This window comes from Homo sapiens, chromosome 15 (genome assembly GCF_000001405.40).
Source record: "Homo sapiens chromosome 15, GRCh38.p14 Primary Assembly".
Classification (NCBI taxonomy): Eukaryota; Metazoa; Chordata; class Mammalia; order Primates; family Hominidae; genus Homo; species Homo sapiens.
The window spans coordinates 90159937-90175747 of NC_000015.10; the positions used below are offsets into that span (position 1 = coordinate 90159937).

General features: G+C 47.5%; 1 pseudogene, besides 4 other annotated features; it reads left to right on the top strand.

Moving 5' to 3' along the window:
* Positions 974-1566: an enhancer, noted in NCBI's record as "H3K27ac-H3K4me1 hESC enhancer chr15:90704142-90704734 (GRCh37/hg19 assembly coordinates)". NCBI's record gives its function as "activates a minimal SCP1, AML or CMV promoter by ChIP-STARR-seq in naive H9 embryonic stem cells {active_cell/tissue: H9 hESC(naive)}" and the evidence as "EXISTENCE:reporter gene assay evidence [ECO:0000049][PMID:30033119]".
* Positions 1567-2159: an enhancer, noted in NCBI's record as "H3K27ac-H3K4me1 hESC enhancer chr15:90704735-90705327 (GRCh37/hg19 assembly coordinates)". NCBI's record gives its function as "activates a minimal SCP1, AML or CMV promoter by ChIP-STARR-seq in primed H9 embryonic stem cells {active_cell/tissue: H9 hESC(primed)}" and the evidence as "EXISTENCE:reporter gene assay evidence [ECO:0000049][PMID:30033119]".
* Positions 3871-4026: a silencer, noted in NCBI's record as "fragment chr15:90707039-90707194 (GRCh37/hg19 assembly coordinates)". NCBI's record gives its function as "represses an EF-1alpha promoter that drives an FKBP-Casp9 reporter gene in an ReSE screen in K562 erythroleukemia cells {active_cell/tissue: K562}" and the evidence as "EXISTENCE:reporter gene assay evidence [ECO:0000049][PMID:32094911]".
* On the top strand, positions 6297-6590 carry RN7SL346P (RNA, 7SL, cytoplasmic 346, pseudogene; annotated as a pseudogene).
* Positions 14499-14999: an enhancer, noted in NCBI's record as "H3K4me1 hESC enhancer chr15:90717667-90718167 (GRCh37/hg19 assembly coordinates)". NCBI's record gives its function as "activates a minimal SCP1, AML or CMV promoter by ChIP-STARR-seq in primed H9 embryonic stem cells {active_cell/tissue: H9 hESC(primed)}" and the evidence as "EXISTENCE:reporter gene assay evidence [ECO:0000049][PMID:30033119]".

Sequence of the window (15811 nt, forward strand, 5' to 3'; positions counted from 1 at the left end):
ATCTGCCACCTTGGCTTCCCAAAGTGTGGGATTACAGGCATGAGCCACTACACCGGACCTATTTTATTTATTGTTTGTTTGTTTTTTTGCGGGGGTGGGTGGTTTGAGACGGCATCTCACTCTGTCGCCCAGGCTGGAGTGCTGTCGCATGATCTGAGCTCACGGCAACCTCCACCTCCCAGGTTCAAGCGATTCTCCTGCCTCAGCCTCCTGAGTAGCTGGGATTACAGGCACCCACCACCACACCTCACTAATTATCATATTTTTAGTACAGACGGGGTTTCGGCATGTTGGCCAGGCTGGTCTCAAACTTCTGACCTCAAGTAATCCACCCACCTCGGCCTCCCAAAGTGCTGGGATTACAGGCGTGAGCCACCACACCCGGCCTTTCCCTAGACTTTATAGGAGCCTACAACAGTCCATCTTGTCCTCTTGTCACCACTGCTGTGGGTGGGGTCATTTGTCCTGTCTGAGGGTGTGGAAATAGAATCCTGGTAACCATGTTATGACTTGAGCGGTCACTTCTGGTTTTCCTTCTGAGAAAATCTTCTGCGCTCAGCTGTATGAGTAATATTGGCTTTTTGTCTCAAATGGGAAATGGCTCTAAGACCGGTTTTTCTATTTGTGTTTCTTTGTTTATTTTGGTAGAAAGCAAAGAGGGCAATACGTTAAACGGCATCTTCCTTGGATGGTCTCAGGATCACAGCCTTCTCTAAAGAAGTATTCCTCTCCAAAGAGCTGCAGGCCTTCAACAGCCTTATTAGGTAATATTATTATACCTGTTTACTTGAGGAAACTGACCTCAGTGGTAGTAACAAGCCCAAGGTCACAGAACTATGGTGGGAGGGAGGGACGAAGACAAGACCTGTGGATTCAGATCCTGGTGCCAGAGGCTTTGCTTACATCCAGTTATTCAATCCGCACTGCAGTCTTCTGGGGTCAGAATCAGACGACAGGTCCTGTGAAGTTTACATATCTTGCCCAAGGTCACAGAGGCAAACAAGGTTGGGATTTGCTGATTCGAAAGCCCGTGCTATTTTCACTTCAGGTCAACTTACCTCTCTATGCTTGCACTTCCTAATCTGTGAAATGGGAATAATAATAGTACATGCCTCTGGGTTTGTTGTGGGAGTTAAATGGAATGACACACCTGGCCCGTAGTGAGCGCCGTAAGTGGACACTATTGTTGTTATCATTATAATGTTAACACGAGGTCTCCCTCTGGTCAGGAGTTGGCCACTCCCTGTTGCAGGAGAACCAGATCCCGTGGGAGCCCCTTCGTGGCCCAGGTGCTCCTGAGGCTCAGTGCAGGTGCTGGGAAAGTTTGCAACAGGAGTAAAGGGAACAAAGGCTCCAGGTGCCTGTGGATGCTTTGTCTGGCTGGAGGCCAGCTTCCTGCTGGATCAGGTTGCTCTTGGCTGTCTGGGTTCATGGAGCTGACCCCTCCTCCCTGTCCCTGCCAACTGAGGGCTGAGGGCTAAGTCTGGTGACACCAAACAGGGCCCAGCATGGGCAACGTACTTCCTTTCTGGAACCCAGTGATGGGATCTCACTGGCTAAACCAGGAAACCTTGGGGCACTGAGAGAGACCTATTCTGGGTCCTCATTCCACAGTGTGGCCTCAGTGAGCCCCCTCCCAACCTCTCCTGGAGGGGTGGTCTTGGGTGTAGAGGCGGCACCTGGGATCTGAGAGCTGGGTTTGAATGCCAGCCCAGGATGGGGCACTGGAGAGACCTTAGGCAAGCCAGCTCTCTCCGTGTCTCAATTTTGTACTATGAAGGTTCAGGAGGTTGTGCTGGTTCATGCATAAAGCCCTTGCAAGCCCTTAAAATTCACTGCTGTCCCCAACACCGCCTATGGAGATGAACTTAATTTTATTTTTTCAGACGGGGTCTCTGTTGCCCAAGCTGGAGTGCAGTGGCGCGATCTCGGCTCACTGCAACCTCTGCCTCCCGGGTTCAAGCAATTCTCCCGCCTCAGCCTCCCGAGTAGCTGGGATTACAGACACACACCACCACACCCGGCTAATTTTTGTATTTTTAGTACAGATGGGGTTTCACCACGTTGGCCAGGCTGGTCTTGAACTCCTGACCTCAGGTGACCCACCCACCTTGGCCTCCCACAATGTTGAAATTACAGGGGTAAGCCACTGCACTCAGCTTAGGAAATGAAACTTCAAACCCAGCAGAGGGTAATCTTTGCATAACACAAACTAGACTATGTCTCACTTCTCCTCAAAACCTGCCACAAGCCCTGGCCTGCTCCCTTCCAACTTCTGCTGTAGCTCCCAGTCACCAGGCTTCTTTAAGTTCCTTGAATAGGACTTTGTTCCTGCCTTAGGGCTTTTGCACTCGCTGTCCCTTTGTCCTGAAACACTCTGAGCTTCAGGTCTTTCGGTTGCTGTCTTTATCACTCAGGTCTTGTGCTTAGGTGTAACCTCCTCAGAGCAGTCTTCTTCTGTCACCCCTGCCTTGTCCCTCTCAACCAACATCATCCAGTTTTATATCCAGAGCATACCTGTCTCTGAAATTATCCTTTTTGTATTTATCTCCCTTTTTTTTTTTTTTTTTTTTTTTTGAGACAGAGTCTCGTACTGTCATCTGGGCTGGAATACAATGGCGCAATCTTGGCTCACTGCAACCTCCGCCTCCCGGGTTCACGCAATTCTCCTGCCTCAGCCTCCCAAGTAGCTGGGATTACAGTTATACGCCACCACAGCCGGCTAATTTTTTGTATTTTTTAGTACAGATGGTGTTTCACTATGTTGGTCAGGCTGGTCTCAAACTCCTGACCTCGTGATCTGCCCGCCTTGGCCTCCCAAAGTGCTGGGATTACAGGCGTGAGCCATCACACTTGCCGTGTCTCCCTTTTTTATTGTCTACCTCCCTCCACCAGAAGCTAAGCTCCGTGAAGACAGGGAACCTGTCTGTCCTTTCTCCCTTTATCTCCCCAGAAGTGCCCAGAGCAGTGCCTGGCAGAGTAGGCACTCAGGGACTCTGTAGACTACCCATTCTGTAAGACCCACCTTGAAGTAGGGTCTGGGCTGCCTGTGCCCATCGTTTCTCTGTGATCTGGGGCAGTGGCCCTGGCACCGCAATGAGGCAGCTTTGTGAGCGTGAAACACTGTCCATTTCCAAAATACTTTCACCTGTGGTGCCTCATTTGCACCTCCCAATAACTCTGTGAGACAGGTAGAGCAGGATCATAAACTCCATTTCATAAATCAGAAAATCGACGCGTCCAGAGGCTTACAGGAACTTGCCTAAGGTAATATCCCTCATTTGGTGCAGAACCAGGAAGAGAACTATTAGTCTCAGGAAGCTCCAGCCAGACATAGAATGCCGAAGATCCACATATCGATCGCATTTCTCCATTAGGTCATGTTATCCATGTACACATGTTGAGAATTACTGCAATGAGGGGGTACTATTCTGATCTCTGAAATGCTTTTGAGCTCTAAATTTTTCTAGGGCTCTTGGATATATGTGATGAGACTTACCTTTAGGTCTCTTCCAGGGAAACTAAAATTCTTGCCTTCTTCCTGGACTGAGAAGTCAAAGTCTCTGCCCTATTCTGCCACAGAATCCCAGTAATGCCTCTACAGAGTACATAGCACATAGTACTTAACAGCCGGTTTCACATATATTCAACTGCAGATGAGGTTCAGAGAGGTGAAGGGACTTGCCCACATAGGAAAATGGCAAAGGGAATTCTAGAACTCAGCTGGTCTGACTCTAAGCACAGTGTTCCTCCCCCCATGACCATATGCATGTAAATTCCCTTCCAGTTGCATGGAAGATGGAGTTCTTCACGGCTAAATTGTTAAAACCAAAATGCCATCTTTAGATGCCTTTATTAGGCTCATTACAAGCTTATCTGGGCCGGGCGCAGTGGCTCACGCCTATAATCCCAGCACTTTGGGAGGCCGAGGCAGGTGGATCACCTGAGGTCAGGAGTTCAAGACAACCCTGGCCAACATGGTGAAACCCCATCTCTACTAAAAATACAAAACTTAGCCAGGTGTGGTAGCACATGCCTGTAATCCCAGTTACTCGGGAGGCTGAGGCAGGAGAATCACTTGAACCCAGGAGGTGGAGGCTGCAGTGAGCCAAGATCACGTCATTGCACTCCAGCCTGGGTGACAGAGTAAGACTCCATCTCAATTTAAAAAAAAAAAAAAAAAGCTTATCGGCCGGGAGGCCAGCCATGTTGGCTCATGTTTGTAATCTCAGCACTTTGAGAGGCCAAAGTGGGAGGATGGCTTGAGCCCAGGAGTTTGAACCAGCCTAGGCAACATGGCAAAACCCCATCTCTACCAAAAATACAAAAATTAGCCAGGCATGGTGGCACACACCTGTGATCCCAGCTACTCAGGAGGCTGAGGCAGGAGAATCTCTTGAACCTGGGAGGTGAAGGTTGCAGTGAGCCGAGATCATGCCATTGCACTTCAGCCTGGGCAACAGAGCAAGACTCTGTCTCAAAAAAAAAAACAAACAAAGATCAGCAGTATGGTGGTATGTCGCTGTAGTCCCAGCTACTCGGGAGGCTGAGGTGGGAGGATGATTTGAGCCTGGGAAGTTGAGGCTGCAGTGAGCCAAAATAACATCACTGCACTCCAGCCTGGGCAACAGAGACAGACCCTGTCTCAAAAAAAAAGAAAAAGAAAAGAAAGCTTTTTAAGTCCTTGCCATGGCCTTCTGTTAGATCTGCAGCAGGAGAGGGAGGAGACGAGAGGCACCCTTGTGATGGAATATGGGGCAGCTCCTCCAAATGAGGGCAGAAATCTATACTTATTGGTAACTTTGCAAATATGTGTCTCCGTTGTATGCAGACACACATACAGAAAGTCTGGAAGGATGTGCTCCAGAATGCTAATAGCAGCATCTCTGGGAATCACCTTATGGGTGATTTCACTCCCTTCTATATACTTGTCTGAAGTTTTATTTTATAATGGGCAAGTATTTCCTTTATAATCAGGCTTTTTTTTTTTTTTTTTTTTTTGAGATGGAGTTTTACTCTCGTTGCCCAGGCTAGAGTGCAATGGCGTGATCTCAGGTCACTGCAACCTCTGCCTCCTGGGTGCAAGTGATTCTCCTGCCTCAGCCTCCCGAGTAGCTGCGATTACAGGTGTGCACCACCAAGCCCAGCTAATTTTTTTGTATTTTTGGTGGAAATGGGGTTTCACCATGTTGATCAGGCTAGTCTTGAACTCGTGACCTCAGGTAATCCACCTGCCTCACCCTCCCAAAATGCTTGGATTACAGGCATAAGCCGCTGCACCCAGCCAATAAAGCCATTTTCATTCTGAAAAAGAATTGAAAAAAGCTACTGAATAGGCCAAGCATGGTGACATGGGCCTGTAGTCCCAGCAACACAGGAGGCTGTGGCAGGAGGATCACTTGAGGCCAGGGACTGGAGGCTGCAGTAAGCCATGATTATGTATGTGAATAGCCACCACACTCCAGCCTGGGCAACACAGTGAGACCCTATCTTATGAAATAGGAAGGAAGGAAGACCACTGAATAGAAATAAAAGAATGGGAAGAAGTCCTGATACATGTGTCTCATGTTTTCAGTCAGATCCCTCTAGGGATGCAGGTGGAATCTGTGTCACCCATGAATGGACCCTTTACTTGGGGGGCATTCAAAATATGAAGGTAATGAGGACTAAGTAGACATCTTCCAATGAATGACACAGAAATTATAAACCTCTTGGCAGTCTCTTTGAACAACTCTCATCTTTCTCAGGATCTTAATGATTCATGTCACAGGCCCTTCCCAAAGATTGTGTGGTGGCTCTGGAGGAAAACCGAGAAGTGATATTACTCGTTTCTGGATAATTGTCAGTGAGTCAGACCTCGTTCAGCGCTCTGGAGTTTCCAGGCCGTTAACTTCTCTGCCTGAACTCATGAGTCAGGGTCAGTCAGCCCAGAGCTGCAATGTGTACGTGCTTCCCGGCCCTGCTCTTCTGGCCCGCCCCCAAGCCTTCACGCATGCACCCCTGCAGGCACTTACCAGCCTCCTCATCCGTATATCCTGGAAAGGGTGCAAGCATGCCTGGCTTAGTCATCCATCCACAGGAAGTTTGCACAGCCCTACCTGAGTGCTAAGATCAGGCTGTAAACTGCCAGAATGAAACAAAAGAGGGAAAATAAATATCAGCACTCTCCCATAAATTTTGCAATAGTCAGCTGTAGTCTAGCTGTGATTTAGAGCATTTGTTTTGTGAATAACCGGATGTGAATAATCTATATGTGAATAACCTATACGTCTGTCAATAGTGATCCATTATGATACATTGTGGTGGTGGGCACCTTGTAATCAGCTACTCAGGAGGTTGAGGTGGAAGGATCACTTGAGTCCAGAAGTTCTGGGCTGTAGTGCTCTATGCTTATAGTGTGTCCACACTAAGTTGGGCATCAATATGGCGACCTACTGGGAGCTGGGGGACCACCAGGTTGTCTAAGGAGAGATGAACCAGCCCAAGTCCGAAACAGAGCAGGTCAGAACTCTGGTGCTGATCAGTAGCAGGATGGTTCTGTGAATAGCCACTGCACTCCAGACTGCGCAACTTAGCAAGACTCTGTCTCTAAAAAAATGTGTGTGTTTGTATAAAATACATTGTAGTGTATCCAGAGAACAGATTACCATGCAGCTATTTAAAAGAACGAGGTAGAGCTATGTAAGTTGACATAGAAAGGGTCAGTTTGGCCGGGCACGGTGGCTCACACCTGTAATCCTAACACTTTGGGAGGCCGAGGCAGGAGGATCATTGAGCCCAGGGGTTCCAGGCTGCAGTGAGCTATGATCACACCACTGCACTCCAGCCTGAGTGACAGAGTGAGATCCAGTCCCTAAAAAAACCCAAAAACCAAAAACAAAAACGTAAGGTCAGTTTTAAGAATAAGAGGAACATTGGATAGCAGTGTATATATTATGCTCCTATTTGTGTGCATGTCAATTATTCTTATTTTTTAAATTATTTTGCTCACTCTGTCACCCAGGCTGGAATACAGTGGCACAATCTCGGCTCACTGCAGCGTCGACCTCCCAGGCTCAGGTGATTCTCCCACCTCAGCCTACCAAGTAGCTGGGACTACAGGCTCATGCTACCACGCACAGCTAATTTTTGGGGTTTCACCATGTTGCCTAGGCTGTTCTCAAACTGCTGGGATCAAGAGATCCTCCCGCCTCAGCCTCCCAAAGTGCTGGGGTTACAGGTATGAGCCACCATGACAGGCATCTTATTTTTATTTTTAAAAATTATAAATGGCATTTTCTCATTGTAAAAGGATAAAAATACAGAAAAGGCTAGCAGAAGACACGAAACTCTCTCATCACCCCTTGCATCAGTCAGGACAGGCTAGGCTATGCTGTGGTAACAAACATCTCTAAAAATGTCAATGGCTTAAAACAACAAAGATTTTTTTCTTGCCCATGCTTTATTCCTAACATGGACACAGAGATTCAGCTCATTGTAGTCCGCACCATAGTCACAGTGCCACCAACATATGATGCCACCATCCCAACGTGATACTTCACAGTTCACCATTATAGAGGAAGAAAGCATGAGAACCAACACAGGATCTCAAATGCCTCCCCTGGAAGGGATACTTGACACTTTTCCTCACATTTCACAAGCAAATCACAAGGATACACCTAACTTCAAGACAGTGTGAAAGTATAACCTTCCCCTGGACACAGGAAGAGAGCTGGAAATATTGATTCACCTTGGTAATGTCTACCACCCCATCCCAAACCACCCTCCTTCCCAGAGGGGAGTTAACATGTTGCTGCTGAATCCCTCCAGGCCTTTTTGATATATAGGCATACCTTGGAAATACTGCAGGTTCAGTTCCAGACCACTGCAGTAAAGCAAGTCACATGAATTTTTTTTGGTTTCCCAGTGCATATAAAAGTTATGTTCATACTATCCTGTAGTCTATTAAGTAAGCCATCATATTATCTCTAAAAAATATGCAGATACCACAGAAATTAGCCAGGCATAGTGGCGGGTGCCTATAATCCCAGCTACTTGGGAGGCTGGGGCAGGAGAATCGCTTGAACCCAGGAGGCGGAGGTTGCAGTCAGCCAAGATCATGCCATTGCACTCCAGCCTGGGTGATAGAGCCAGACTCTGTCTGAAAACAAAAAAAAGGATATATCTTTTTAATTTTTTTTTTTAATTTAAAAATTTTTTTGAGACAGGGTTCCACTCTGTCACCCAGATGGGAGTGCAGTGGCACAGTCATGGCTCACTGCAGCCTTGACCTCCTAGGCTCAAGCGATCCTCCTACCTCAGCCTCCCAAGTAGCTGGGACCACAGGCGTGCACCACCATACCTTGCTAACTTTTATATGTCTTGTAGAGACTGGGTTTGCCCATGTTGGCCAGGCTGGTCTCGAACTCCTGGGCTCAAGCAATCTGCCTGCCTGGGCACCACAATTGCTGGGATTATAAGTGCAAGCCACCACGCCCAGCCTGTTTTGCGTACTTCCTGTTTGTGTGTTCACTGTCATAGTGCCTTTAATTTTCCTTTGTCTTTTAAACTTGGCTAATTGGCTCAAGAAGACTAGTTTTTCAGCCTGTTTTGGCTTTCAACATGCCTTCCTCACTAAGCTTAATCCTTTGTACCTAGAGATGTGGAACTCTTGCTTTTGTGTGAACAGAGGACTTAGAGGCCATCATAGGGTTATTAATTGGCCTAATTGCAACATCTTTGTGTCTCAGGGAATAGGGAGGCTCCAGAAGAGGGAGACAGAAGGGAGGGAGAATGACCCGTTGGTGGCCGTTTGATGGAGCAGCCAGAACAAGCAAAACGTTTATCAATTGTGGCTGAGCACAGTGGCTCACACCTGTAATCCCAGCACTTTGGGAGGCCGAGGCGGGTGGATCACCTGAGGTCAGGAGTTCGAGACCCGCCTGGCCAATATGGTAAAACCCCATCTCTACTAATAACACAAAAATTACCCGGGCGTGGTGGCGCACTCCTGTAATCCAAGCTACTCCGGAGGCTGAGGCAGGAGAATCGCTTGAACCCCAGAGGCAGAGATTGCGGTGAGCCAAGATCACACCACTGAGCTCCAGCCTGAGCAAGTGAAACTCTGCCTCAAAAAGAAAAAAAAGAAAAAAAGTTTATCAATTAAGTTTGCCATCTTGTATGGGCCCGGTTCATGGTACCCCAAAACAATTAAATAGTAACATCAAAGATCACCAATCACAGATCACCATAACAGATATATTAATAATGAAAAAGTTTGAAACGTTGAAAGAATCAGCAAGATGTGACACAGACACTAAGTGAGCACATGCTGTTGGAGAAGCTGTGCTCATAGACTTGCTTGACCTTGCCACAAACCTTCAATTCATAAAAAAATGCAGTATCTACGAAACGTGATATCTTCAAAGAGCAATATAAACGAAGTTTGCCTGTATATAGTTTTGACATACATTAATAGTTTACAATAAATTTAAAATATATCTGGCTGGGCACAGTGGCTTATGCCTCTAATCCTAGCACTTCGGGAGGCCAAGGTGGGTGGATCACCTGAGGTCAGGAGTTTGAGACCAGCCTGGCCGATATGGTGAAACCCCATCTCTACTAAAAATACAAAAATTAGCCGGGCATGGTGGTGAGCACCTGTAATTCCAGCTATTCAGGAGGCTGAGGCATGAGAATCACTTAAACCTGGGAAATGGAGGTTGCACTGAGCCAAGATTTTGCCACTGCAGTCTAGCTTGGGCAACAGAGCAAGACTTAGTCTCATAAAAAATAAAATAAAATAAAAATATACCAGCCTAGGCAACATAGTGAGACCCCCAACTCTATTTAAAAAAAAAAAATAGAAAAATAGCTGGGTACAGTGGCTCATGCATGTAATCCCAGCACTTTGGGAGGCCGGGGCGGGTGGATCACCTGAGGTCAAGAGTTCGAGACCAGCCTAACTAACATGGTGAAACCCTGTCTCTACTAAAAATACAAAAATTAGCTGGGCATGGTGGCACATGCCTGTAATCCCAGCTGCATGGGAGGCTGAGGCAGGAGAATCACTTGAACCCGGGAGATGGAGGTTGCAGAGAGCTGAGATCATGCCATTGCACTCCAGCCTGGGCAATGAGAGCGAAACTCCGTCTCAAAAAATAAATTAATTAATTAAATAAAAATGCAAACATTAGCCGGGTGTGGTGGCATGCACCTGTAGTCCTCGCTACTTGGGAGGCTGAGGCACAAGAATCGCCTGAACTTGGGAGGTGGAGGTTGCAGTGAGTCGAGATCACACCACTGCACTCCAGCCTGGGTGACAGAGGAAGACTCTGTCTCAAAAAAAAAAAAAAAAAGAAGAAGAAGAAGAAGAAGAAGATATTAGCCAGGCATGGGTGCATGCCAGTAGTCCCAGCTACTAGGGAGACTGAGGTGGGAGGGTCCATTGACCACAGGCGGTCAAGGCTGCAGTGAGCCATGACCATGGCTGGGCGACATAGTAAAACCCTGTCGGCCGGGCGCGGTGGCTCACGCCTGTAATCCCAGCACTTTGGGAGGCCGAGGCAGGTGGATCACGAGGTCAGGAGATCGAGACCATCCTGGCTAACACGGTGAAACCCCGTCTCTACTAAAACTACAGCCGCTTACAGAAGTTGTAATAGTGATGTCTAACTTGGAAATGAAGAGTTTTTGAAAGTGACTGTTTAGAGGGCTGGAAGGAGGATATGCAAAAACACATGCAACAACAAAAAATCCATCCATCAGAGTTTTCTAGGTCAATATCTGGACCAGTTTCTCTCGTATCCCGTAGCCCTTGTTGTGATGTGGGGTAGGAGAAAGGGACGTGGACATCTTACTGGCCAGGTCTTATCTTTTTTTGTTTTGTTTTGTTTTCTTGAGACAGTCTTGCTCTGTCTCCAGGCTGGAGTGCAGTGGGCGTGATCTCGGCCTCCCGGGTTCAAGCAATTCTCCTGCATCAGCCTCCTGAGTAGCTGGGACTACAGGCATGTGCCACCACGCCCAGCTAATTTTTGTAGTTTTAGTAGAGACAGGGTTTCTTTCTTTTTTTTTTTTTTGAGACAGAGTCTCTCTCTGTCACTCAGGCTAGAGTGCAATGGCACGATCTCGGCTCACTGCAACCTCCACCTCCCAGGTTCAAGCGATTCTCCTGAGAGACAGGGTTTCACCATGTTGGCCAGGATGGTCTTGATCTCCTGACCTCGTGATCTGCCTGCCACAGCCTCCCAAAGTGCTGGGATTAAGGTGTGAGCCACTGCGCCTTAATGGCGTCTTAATGCCTGGGCACATGGAGGAGTGAGTCAGGTACAAAAAACAAAAACAAAACAAAAAAAACCCCTGCTCAACCCTGCTCTCTGTCCATGGACCAGTACCCCTTCATCCTATCTGGGCTCTCCTTCCTACACCCTCGGGTTTCCCAAGGCTGAGTGTTGTGTTGAAAAGAGCAGCTTTCCAGGTAAAGAAGGACTGGCCAGGACCGGTGCCTTATACCTGGAATCCCAGCACTGTGGGAGGCCAAGGCGGGAGGATAGCTTCAGGGCAAGAATTGGAGACTAACCTGGGCCACATGGAGAGACCCCTGTCTCTACAAAAAATAAAAAATTATACTTCTGGAATCTTCAGAAAGAAAAATAAATAAACAAAATAAATTATCCAGGCCTGGTGACACACACCTATAGTCCCAGCTACTCAGGAGACTGAGGTGGGAGGATCACTTGAGCCCAGGAAGTTGAGGCTGCAGTGAGCAATGAGCCATGATCACACCATGGTACTCTAGCTTGGACAACAGAGCCAAACCCTTTGTCAAAAAAAAAAAAAAAAAGAAGAAGAAGAAAAGAAAGAAAAAAGGACAAGTCTTCATATAGAAATATGTTGAAATATATTAAGAAATGACCGTTTTCACAACATTTCTCAAGAACAATCTGACAGTGTATCAGAAGCCTTTAAAAAATATAGAGATCCAAGCCAGGCACCACCTGTAGTCCCAGCCATTTGGGAGACTGAGGTGGATCACTTAAGCCTAGAAGTTTGAGTCTAACTGGGCAACACAGCAAGACTTTGTCTCTTTAAAAATATATGTGTAAAAAAATAGACAAAAATTTAAATTAAAAAATATATTTGCACATATTGGCTGGGCGCGGTGGCTCACGCCTGTAATCCCAGCACTATGGGAGGCCAAGGTGGGAGGATCGCTGGAGCCCAGGAATTCAACACCAAAGTGGGCAACATGATGAAATCCCATCTCTACAAAAAATACAAAAATTAGCCTGGCAGGGTGGCAAGCACCTGTATTACCGGCTACTCGGGAGGGTGAGGTGGGAGGATTGCTTGAACCCAGGAGGCAGAAGTTGCAGTGGGTAGAGATCGCGCCACTGCACTCCAGGCTGAGTGACAGAGTGAGACCCGTATATACACACACATACACATACACAGACCCTTTGATCCAGCAGTCCACAAAGCATAGTTTATTCTAAGAAAATAAAAGAAATGAATAAAGATGAGTTTATCTTGCTCATAATAATGTAAATATTGAAAACCTAAATATCTAGCTATAGGAGATTAGACAAACTATAGAATGCTTTACTTATCTAACTATAGGTAGACGTTAATGGATGTAAATTATCCATTGAAATGTTAAATAGAAACAAAAAGAGCTAGTTCATGGCAGGGTTAGGCAAAAAAAAAAAAAAAAAAACAAAAGAGAGCAACAGGAATGTAAAAGCATATGTATCCTATGGTCCATCTTCAAAAAAAGTTTGTAAATACACACCTTGAAACTATGAAAGGTTAAACACCAGAATTTTAACAGTTATTAACTCCAGGGGATGGGAATATAAATTTATTTCTCTATGTGCTTATCAGAATTTTCTTTTCTTTTTTTAATTTTTTTTTTTTTTTTGAGATGGGGTCTCACTCTGTCACCCAGGCTGGAGTGCAGTGATCCAATTACAGCTCACTGCACCCTCAACCTCTCTGGGCTCGGATGATACTCTCACCTTAGCCTCCTGAATAGCTAGGACTACAGGTGTGCGCCACCATGCCCAGCTAATTTTTGTACTTTTTTGTAGAAAAAGGGTTTCACCATGTCCCCCAGGCTGGTCTTGAACTCCTGGAATCAAATGATCCATCCATCTCAGCCTCCCAAAGTATCAGGACCACAGGCCTGAGCCACCATTCCTTGTCAGAATTTTCTAATTTTTCTACAAAGAACATGATTAAGTAATAAAAGACACAAATTATTTAAGTATGTCTTCAGTCACTTTTATTTTTTTGAGACAGGGTCTTGCTTTGTTGCCCAGGCTGGATTGCAGTGGTGCAGTGGCGGCAGTGGTGGACTGCCGCCTCAACCTCGCAGGCTCGAGCCATCCTCCCACCTCAGCCTCCTGAGTAGCTGGGACTACAGGAACGTGCCACCGTGCCCAGCTAATTTTTTAAATTTTTGTAGAGATGAGCTCTCACTGTGTTGCCCAGGCTGCTCTTGAACTCCTGGACTTAAGCCATCCTCCCCTTTGCCCTCCCAAGGTGTTGGGATTACTGGTGTGAGCCACCACGCCCAGCTTCAGCCACTTCTTATTTTCTGTAATATCGATGCTCAAGGTAATCCGCGGGCAGAGGTGACTGGGCTTGAGGCTGGGATCTGGAAGCCTTGTTTTGTGCTGTGTGTGACCTTGGGCAAGCCACCTGACGGGGAGGTATTTGCATCCGCGTTTTACAGATAGATAACTGATGTGCAGAGAGGACTCATGCTGTGCTCAAGATCCCACAGTTCTTAGTGCCAGAGCTGGATTTTTTTCTGTCTTTTTCTTTTTTTGTTTTGTTTTGTTTTTCTTTTCTTTTTTTTTTTTTTTTTTTTTGAGACGAAGTCTCTCTCTTGTCCCCCAGGCTGGAGTGCAATGGCGGGATCTCGGCTCACTGCAACCTCTGCCTCCCGGGTTCAAGCTATTCTCCTGCCTCAGCCTCCCAAGTAGCTGGAATTACAGGCGCCTGCCACAGCGCCCGGCTAATTTTTTTTTTTTTTTTTTGTATTTTTAGTAGAGACGGGGTTTCACCATGTTGGCCAGACTGGTCTCGAACTACTGACCTCAGGTGATCCGCCCTCCTCGGCCTCCCGAAGTGCTGGCATGAGCCACCGCGCCTGGACGTGTTTTGGTTTTTTGAGATAGAGTCTCATTCTGTCGCCCAGGCTGGGGTGCAGTGGCGTGATCTCGGCTCACTGAAACCTCCACTTCCCGGGTTCAAGCGATTCTCCTGCCTCAGCCTCCCGAGCAGCTGGGATTACAGGTGCCCGCCACCATGCCCGGCTAATTTTTGTATTTTTAGTAAAGACAGGCTTTCACCATGTTGGCCAGGCTGGTCTCGTACTCCTGACTTCAGGTGATCCGCCCGCCTCGGCCTCCCAAAGTGCTGCGATTATAGGCGTGAGCCACCGCGCCCAGCCCCAGGGCTGGATTTTGAACCCAGGTTTCCTGATTCTGGTTAAGGATTTTCTCCACTACACCAGAGGTACCCTTTTCTGAGCCTCATCTCTAAAACAGCAGGGTCAGGATACAGTCCCTTCCAGCTGAAAATATTCAGTGTCCGCAGGAACTTTTCCCCCTCCCCCATCACTCCTGGCACGTCTACAGGCCGGAACAGTTGGTGTATGTGCCCCATTTATCGGATGGGGCCGATAATTCCCTGGCCGGCGGGATTTCAGGCTGGGTTAAGAGAACTCCAGCCGGCCCCATGGCCACAAAAGGGGGAGGGTGGGGGTGCTCTATGGTTGGGCATCTGGCCGGGTGCCTGCAGAACCAGGCAAGAACTGCCCATGAAAGCTGGCTGGCTGCCGGGAACTCGTTGTCTTTCCATTTAAACAGACACTGGCTGTCTGTTGAGTTTCTGGAAACATCTGACCTTTTGCAGAGCATCTCAAGAGTTGTCAGGGAGGGCTGGAGGGAGGCTTCTCACTTTCTGTAAACGGTTTAACCCTTCCTACAAAACCCCTAACAATAAAAAGAAGAGATCAATTTCCAGGGAACTAGAAAGGTTTGTTTGTCCTATTTTTTTTGGAGGGGGGGCGGGGGGGACAGGGTCTCGCTCTGTCGTCATGCTTGAGTGCAGTGGCTTAATCTCGGCTCACTGAAACCTCCGCCTCCCAGGTTCAAGCGATTCTCCTGCCTCAGCCTCCTGAGTAGCTGGGACTACAGGCACATGCCACCATGCCCAGCTCATTTCTGTATTTTTAGTAGAGACGGGGTTTCACCATGTTGATCAGGATGGTCTCAATCTCCTAACCTCAAGATCCGCCTGCCTCGGCCTCCCAAAGTGCTGGGATTACAAGCGTGAGCCACCGTGCCCGGCCTGTTTGTCCTATTTTGTTGGCTGGGGAGGTAGGTCATGTCTGGGAGCAGGGAAGAGACATTGAGCCCAGGGACCTCCTGTGTAGTTTTTTTCTGATCCCCTGTTTCTGGGACTGGAGGCTGTGGCTCCCTGGGGAGTGAGGGGGAGGGGGTGGGTGAGATGGAAGTCCTGGAGGAAGGGGAGGGGCTGAAAGGAGGCAGCTCCCTCTGCCCAGAGCAGAGGCTCTACTGAAGACAAGAGTTTGGCTCACTAGAGCAGGGACTACTTCTCTGACGTAGTGAGCAATGTACTTTATCCTGCAAATGTTTGTAGCGCACCTCCTATGTGCCAGACACTATGTGAGGCACTGGTGACATGACAGCAAGCAATCTCAGACAGACATGTCTCATGCCTTTGTGGAGTGCCCCCTTTTTTTTTTTTTTTTTTTTTTGAGACGGAGTCGCTCTGTCACCCAGGCTGGACTGCAGTGGTG